Below are 7964 nucleotides of genomic sequence, written 5' to 3'. Positions count from 1 at the left end.
GATCGCGCCACTGCACTCCAGCCTGGGCGGCAGAGCTAGACTCCATCTCAAAAAAAAAAAAAAAAAAAAAAAAAGAAAAGCCAAGCGCGACCCTCTGGTCTCTCTCTTCCTATTAAAGCACACGAGGAGGCTGTGGATTTTAGATGGTGCAGAACAAGACAGCAGAACCTCCAACAACTTTACCCCTGGTGACCATGGAGAGCAGGGCCCCTCACAATCCACACAGGACACAAGGCATAAGCAAAAGGTAAACTGAATGGGGGTAAGCTGCTGAGATTTTAGGGTTGTTACCACAGCTGTAACTTAACCTAGCCTATTCTAATGTAGTTTGTGTCTTCACCGTTTCTGCCACTTTGCTCTTCTCCTCCAGGGTCAGAGGAGTGAAAAGAGAGTTGGGGAGGAAAAATAACAAGCACATAGTGGATACTGTTTGGGCTCCACCCAGATCCCCTTTTATGGTTTCTGTTTGCCTCGCCCCAGTTCCTGAGGCTTTTGCTTCTAACCGTCCACACCTGAGGCTCTCTTTAAAGGCCTGCTCTTGGCTACTGGAGTCAGAGTCAGAAGTGCCTGAGAATTTACATCCACCCACCCTGAGATGGGTGGGTCTCAGCCAGTGACTGGCTGGTGTGGGAGTATGAAAGCCCAGCTCCCTTGCAACAAGTCAGGACAAACTCTGAGGCATAATTTATATTCTGAAATTCCCCTGTGGGATCAGGCTGAAACTACCCACCCACAGGACTTTGCTTGAGACTGCACCCTTGCTTTGCATTTTCCCTCCATTATCCTCCTTCACCTATTCATTTTCCAATTTCTCCCGGGAGCATTTCCTTAATAGATCACTTGCACACAAGTTCTCATTTCATATTCTGCTTCTGAATAACCCTACTTAAGACATTTGGAACTGGTAATTGTCCTAGGAAATGGACTCTAAGGATGAGATTTGGAATTCAATCACTTGCTGGCCAGATGGCAATAAGGACCCTATTACTGATCATAAGGGAAGTGTTGTTAGTGCCTGGTATGCTATATCGTTGCCATTAGTGAAATATGTACCTGTGGAAAATTAGAATTGAATACAGCTGGAAGGGGTCGCATTGGCTTGTACAATTCAGAGGAAGCAATAATTTAAGGGACTGCAGAATTCGTTTATTGTTGCTGGATGCTGTTGATGCATGAGAGAAAATGACAGGCTCAGGTGAGACAGTTACCAGTTTAAGGCAAGATGTGAAGTCAGAAGTCCTCTTCAGCAGCATTTAAAAAGATTGTTGGCTGGGCGTAGTGGCTCACGCCTGTAATCCCAACACTTTGGGAGGCTAAGGCAGGCAGATCACCTGAGGTCAGGAGTTTGAGACCAGCCTGGCCAACATGGTAAAACCCCATCTCTACTAAAGATACAAAAATTAGCTGGGCATGGTTGCAGGCACCTGTAATCCCAGCTACTCGGGAGGTTGAGGTAGAAGAATCGCTTGGACCTGGGAGACGGAGATTGCAGTGAGCTGAGATGGCGCCACTGCACTCCAGCCTGGGTGACGGAGCAAGACTCCATCTCAAAAAAAAAAAAAAAAAAAAAAAAAAAGACTGCCATATACTGTAGCTGGAAAGCGAACTGTGCTGAAGACCGGGCATAGGACTGTATTGTATTGTAAGAGTAGCAGAACTTCAGCAATGGCTAACTCTGTAGTCCCAGTGAGTTTTCTCCATGAAAATCAGGCCCCTGATAGGGGAGAAATGGAACCCTGAGACTTCGATGGGGATACCTGGGAAGATGCACTTGAGAACATTTAACTCTTAGATTCCCTTGAACATTCTGGGCAAATGTTTGCCCTTGTTAGAGGACAACAGCAGCCCCCTCCTTGCAGAAACTGTGCAGGGGCCTGAACTGAGGCAGATAACCTGCAAAACAATATCTGCCTTCCTCAAGATCTTTCCCCACACCCCTCCTGGACAGTAGGCAAACAACTAGGGCTAAGTCTCAGCATGACCCACCTGGGGAAGTGCTGGTTCTGCTAAGGGTAGAAAAGGATTATTCACCAAAGGATCTGTAGGAACAGACTAGTATGTACTAGCAAGAATACGGGGTGCTTGCTTACAAATGTACCTTGAGGATGCTGAAACAGAAATTGGGGTGGTAGAATATTTATCTGGCTAAAGGAGTGTTTGCTGATATGAGGATTCTCTTCCACAACGCAATATTTAACAGCCTGACAAGGGGCCTTGAAGTTATAATTAACAGAGGAAGAGTGTTTAGGTACTTGGAAAAAATAATGGCCTGTGTTATATGAGGTAATATGCTGAAACTACCATGACAGAGTGCTGAAAAGGAGATCAAAAGTTCCAAAACTAAAGCACCATCAAAGACTCATCATTAGAGTAGGGATTCTACAGGTCAGGCATGAATGTAGTCCTGACCCAGGTCTTTCTTACAATGGGTCTGTAAGACTTCACAGATAATACTTGTTAATCATTTTCTTGATGATACGGTTTGGCTGTGTCCTCACCCAAATCTCATCTTGAATTGTAGTTCCCATAATCCCCACGTGTCATGGGAGGGACCTGGTGGGAGGTAATTGAATGATGGGGACAGTTACTCCCCTGTTGTTCTCATGATAGTGAGTTCTTAAGAGATCCGATGGTTTTATAAGGGGCTTTGCCCCCTTTGCTTGGCACTCCTCCTTGTGAAGAAGGACGTGTGCCATGTGAAGTCCAGGCATAGGACTGTATTGTATTGTAAGAGTAGCAGAACTTCAGCAGTGGGTAACTTTGTAGTCCCAGTAAGTTTTCTCCATGAAAATCAGGCCCCTGATAGGGAAGAAATGGAACCCTGAGACTTGGATGGGGATTCCTGCGAAGATGCACTTGAGAACCAAGTGAAGCCATGTGAAGAAGAACGTATTTGCTTCCCCTTCTGCCATGATTCTAAGTTTCCTGAGGCTTCCCTAGCCCCGTGGAACTGTGAGGCAATTAAATTTCTTTCTGTTATAACTTACCCAGTCTCAGGCAATTCTTTGTAGGAGTGTGAGAACAGATAAATACAGTGAATTGGTACAACAGAGACTGAGGTACTGCTATAAAGATACCCAAAAATGTGGAAGTGACTTTGGAACTGGGTAACAGGCAGAGGTTGGAACAGTTTAGAGGGCTCAGAAGAAGACAGGAAAATGTGGGAAAGTTTGGAACTTCCTAGAGATTTAGAGGGCCTCAGAAGACAAGAAGATGGGGGAAAGTTTGGAACTTCCTAGAGACCTGTTGAATGGTTTTGACCAAAATGCTGATAATGATATGGACAATGGAGTCCAAGCTGAGGTGGTCTCCGATGAAGATGAGAAATGTGTTGGGAACGGGAATAAAGGTGACTCTTGCTATGCTTTAGTAAAAAGACTGATGGCCTATTGCCCTCACCCTAGAGATCTGTGGAACTGTGAACTTGAGAGATATGATTTAGGGTATCTGGTGAAAGAAATTTCTAAGCAGCAAAGTGTTCAAGAGGAAGCAGAGCAAAAAAGCTTGGAAAATGTGCAGCCTGATGATGCAATAGAAAAAAAGTACCCATTTTCTGGGAAGAAATTTAAACCCATTGTAGAAATTTGCATGAGTAATGAGGAGCTGAATGTTAATCACCAAAACAATGAAGAAAATGTCTCCAGGGCTTGTCTGAGATCTTTACAGCAGCCCCTCCCATCACAGTACTGGAGGCCTAGGAGAAAAAAACGGTTTCGTGGGCCGGGCCCAGGGCCCCTTGCTCTGTGCAGCCTTGGGACATGGTGCCCTGTGTCCCAAGCTGCTTTGGCTTCAGTTGTGGCTAAAAGGGGCCAATGTACAGCTCAGGCCATTACTTCAGAGGGTTCAAGTTCCAGTCCTTGGTGGCTTACATGTGGTGTTGGCCCATGGGTGCATAGAAGTCAGGAATTGAGGTTTGGAAACCTCTGCCTAGATTTCAAAGGATTTATGGAAATGCCTGGATGTCCAGGCAGAAGTTTACTACAGGGGTAGAGCCCTCATGGAGAACCTCTGCTGGGGCATTGCAGAAGGGAAATGTGGAGTCAGAGTCCCCAAACAGAATCTCCACTGGGGCACTGCTAGTGGAGCTGTGAGAAGAGGGCCACCGTCCTCCAGACCCCAGAATGGTAGATCCACTGACAGCTTGCACCATGTGCCTGGAAAAGCTGCAGACACTCAATGCCAGCTCATGAAAGCAGCCAGGAGGGGGGCTGTACCCTGCAAAGCCACAGGGGCAGAGCTGCCCAAGGCTGTGGGAGCCCACCTCTTGCATCAGCATGACTTGGATGTGAGACATGGAGTTAAAGGAGATGATCTTGGAACTTTAAGATTTAATGACTGCCCAATTGGATTTTAGACTCGTATGGGGCCTGTAGCCCCTTTGTTTTGGCCAATTTCTCCCATTTGGAATGGATGTATTTACCCAATGCCTATATCCCCTGTACCAACTTTCTTTCCATTTTATAGGCTCATAGGTGGAAGGGCTTGACTTGTCTCAGATGAGACTTTGGACTTGGACTTTTCAGTTAATGCTGGAATGAGATAAGATTTTGGAGGACTGTTGAAAAGGCATGACTGTGTTTGGAAATGTGAGGACGTGAGATTTGGGAGGGACCGGGGTGGAATGATATGGTTTGGCTGTGTCTCCACCCAAATCTCATCTTGAATTGTGGTTCCCATAATCCCCACGTGTTGTGGGAGGGACCTGGTGGGAGGTAATTGAATCATGGGGGTGATTACTCTCATGCTGTTCTCATGATAGTGAGTTCTCATGAGATCCAGTGGTTTTATAAGGGGCTTTGCTCCCTTTGCTTGGCACTTCTACTTCCTGCTGCCATGTGAAGGAGGATGTGTTTGCTTCCACTTCTGCCATGATTGTAAGTTTCTTAAGGCTTCCCCAGCCCTGCAGAACTGTGAGTCAATTAAACCTCTTTCCTTTAGAACTTACCCAGTCTTGGGCAGTTCTTTAGAGCAGTGTGAGAATGGACTCATTCTCACACTTGGTACCCAAATGTATAATCAGGTTGTATATACCTAGCATCTAGGAGAACTTTGCATTAGTTCCATAACCCTATGGAATAAAGACTATTGTAGTAAGAAAGGCCAAGTGAAAGCCCCTGAATTACTCTTCCCTACCCCACTCCATTATCCATAAATCTGGCTAAGATAGTAAATCACAAACAACACTGTCTCTTGGGTAGAATGGTATGCTAAACCTAAAAGACTGAAAGGAAGCGAGGGTGGTAGTACTCATTATATTCCATTTTAATCTCCCACTCTAGACCCTGCAAAATCAGCTAGATCATGGCAGATGACAGTAAACTACATTGCAAACTTAACTAAGTGGTAGCCACACTGTAATTGCTGTGCTGGGTATGCTATCTATACAGGTTGGTTATTGCTTATCCAAAATGCCAGGGAATAGAAGTGTTTTGTAGTTTTTATTATTTGGGGTTTTGGAATATTTGCATTATGCTTACCATTTGAGCATCACAAATCCAAAAATCCAAAATCTGAATTGCACCAATGAGCATTCCCTTTGAGTGTTATAGCAGTGCAGTTTCAGATTTTGGAGTGTTTTGAATTTTATATTTTTCAATTTGTAATGTTCAACCTGTACTAGAATGAAGCAAATAACCTCTCTTACACATTATGTGTCTATTGATCTAATAAATGTGCACCTTACAATATCCACCAGAAAGGAAGGTCAGAAACAGTTTGCATTTACCTGGGATGGACAACAGTATACATTTACATCTTGCTTCAGGACTGTCCTGTTAACTCTCCTGTTCTCTGTCAAAATATAGTTCAAATAAGACTTGATTTCCTGGACCCTCAATGTAACATTACATTGGTTCACTATATTGATACATTACATTAACTGGACCTGCTGCACAAGAGGTGGCAATTACTGCAGATGTCCCAATAAGATTATGTGCTCCAGAGGTAGGGAGATAAAAACCTTGCTATATCAGTGTAGGTTTTTTAAATTTTGTTTTGTTCTGTTTTTTTTTTTTTTTTTTTTTTTTTTTTTTTTTTTTTTGAGACAGAGTCTTGCTGTGTCACTGAGGCTGGAGTGCAATGGAGCAGTCTTGGCTCACTACAACCTCTGCCTCTCAGGCTCAAGTGATCCTCCCATCTTGGCCTCCTGAGTAGCTGGGATTACAGGCATGCACCACACACCTGGCTAATTTTTGTATTTTTAGTAGAGACAGGGTTTTGCGATGTTGGCCAGGCTGGTCTTGAACTCCTGGCCTCAAGTGATCCACCCGCCTCAGCCTCTCAAAATGTGGGAACCACCATGCCCAGCTGACCAGTGTAGTTTTGAAGTGCCTAACAGTTGGGTGTGGTTGCTCACGCCAGCACTTTGGGAGGCTGAGGTAGGAGGATCGCTTGAGCTCAGGACTTCAAGACCAGCCTAGGCAACATGGGGGGACCCCCATCTATTAAAAAAAAATTAGCTGGGCATGGTGCCACATTCCTGTAGTCCCAGCTACTTGGGAGGCTGAAGTAGGAGGATTACTTATGCCCAGGAGTTTGAGGCTGCAGTGAGTCATGATCACACCATTGCACTCCAGCCTGGGTGACAGGGTGAAACCCTGTATCTAAATAGATAAATAAATATTAATAATAATAAAAATAAAGAAGTGCTTAATGATCTGGGGCATGCCATGCCAGGACATCCCCTTTAGGGTATAGTAATTATTGCAGAGTGAAGCTTCTAACATTAAGAAGCACAGTGTTGGCAGGCCTCTTCTGGCTTCAGAGACAGCACATTCTACGCTTGGGAATATTGCTCCAACCCATTTACTGGCTAACTTAGTAGGCTGCCAGCTTTGAGCCCTACTAATGCCTCTCTTCCGCTGATGTCTATGGCCTCATTGAAGGAGGGGGGCCCTCTACATCCAACTCATGAGTGAGGAAGAAACTCGAGCATATTCCAGTGTAGCTAAGTAATGGGTAAATTTGACATATAGTTGTCCCATAAACAACAGTAAACTCTGGATCAAATGCAACAAGAAAACACAAACAACAACAAAACTACCTGAAGACACTGGAGAGTGAACAAATGAGCATATCCCAGAGGGCAGTTAAAATTGAAAGGGAGAACAGCACAATATGATTTTCCCGTTTTCGTGACTTTTAGCCTAAGGGTAGGATGCAGTTGGTGCTGCGCAAGGCAGCTAAAACTATGACAGAAAATTCTGAGTCTTCCTGGCCTGAAAAACCAGAGAACAAACTTAAGGAACAACTATGCTAATGCAAAGTGGGGAGGGATACCCCAAAAAGAAAGGAGTCAGAGAGGAGAAGCCCCAAACCACGTGTATAAACTTTGCACAAACTCTAGTTGACCCCTGAACTATGCATTTACAGGGCCAACTGCAAGTAGCTTGGCTAAGGGTAAAATAACTGAACTGAGATTTGACCTGATTCCCAGGAGACGGACTTTGCAATTTGAATCCAACCATGTTAACTGCCTGTTCAAACGAAACAAAACAAAAACCAAGAAAGCCAACGAACACTCTTCAGAGAAACAACAGAATCCAGTCTCTACAACATGAATTTGAGAATATGCAGGACACAGTCTGAAATTACTTACAATACAAGGAAAAAATGTGACCCATTCTCTAGAGAAAAGATAGTCCATGGAGACTAATTCTGAGATGACCCAGATTTTGAAATTTGCAAACAGGATTTTCGAGAGGTTATTTTAATTATGCTCACCGACATAAAGAAAAACAGGTTTGCGATAAATGAAAAGTGACGAGATCACAGCAGAAAAATAGAGACTATAGAAAACAACCAAATAGAAATTCTAGAATTGGGCCAGGCACAGTGGCTCACACCTGTAATCCCGGCACTTTCAGAGGCTGAGGCGGGTGGATCACATGAGGTCAGGAGTTTGTGACCGGCCTGATCGACATGATGAAACCCCGTCTCTACTAAAAATACAAAACTAGCTGGGT

At 44.3% G+C, this 7964-nt stretch overlaps 1 annotated feature.

Annotated features, from left to right (window-relative positions):
- Nucleotides 540-609: a silencer, noted in NCBI's record as "silent region_16616". NCBI's record gives its function as "represses an Ori minimal core promoter by ATAC-STARR-seq in GM12878 lymphoblastoid cells {active_cell/tissue: GM12878}" and the evidence as "EXISTENCE:reporter gene assay evidence [ECO:0000049][PMID:35858748]".

The sequence above is a fragment of the Homo sapiens genome, chromosome 5, assembly GCF_000001405.40.
Source record: "Homo sapiens chromosome 5, GRCh38.p14 Primary Assembly".
NCBI classification, from domain to species: domain Eukaryota; kingdom Metazoa; phylum Chordata; class Mammalia; order Primates; family Hominidae; genus Homo; species Homo sapiens.
The sequence above is the reverse complement of the archived record's forward strand: the minus strand, read 5'-3'. Positions and strand labels throughout refer to the sequence as shown.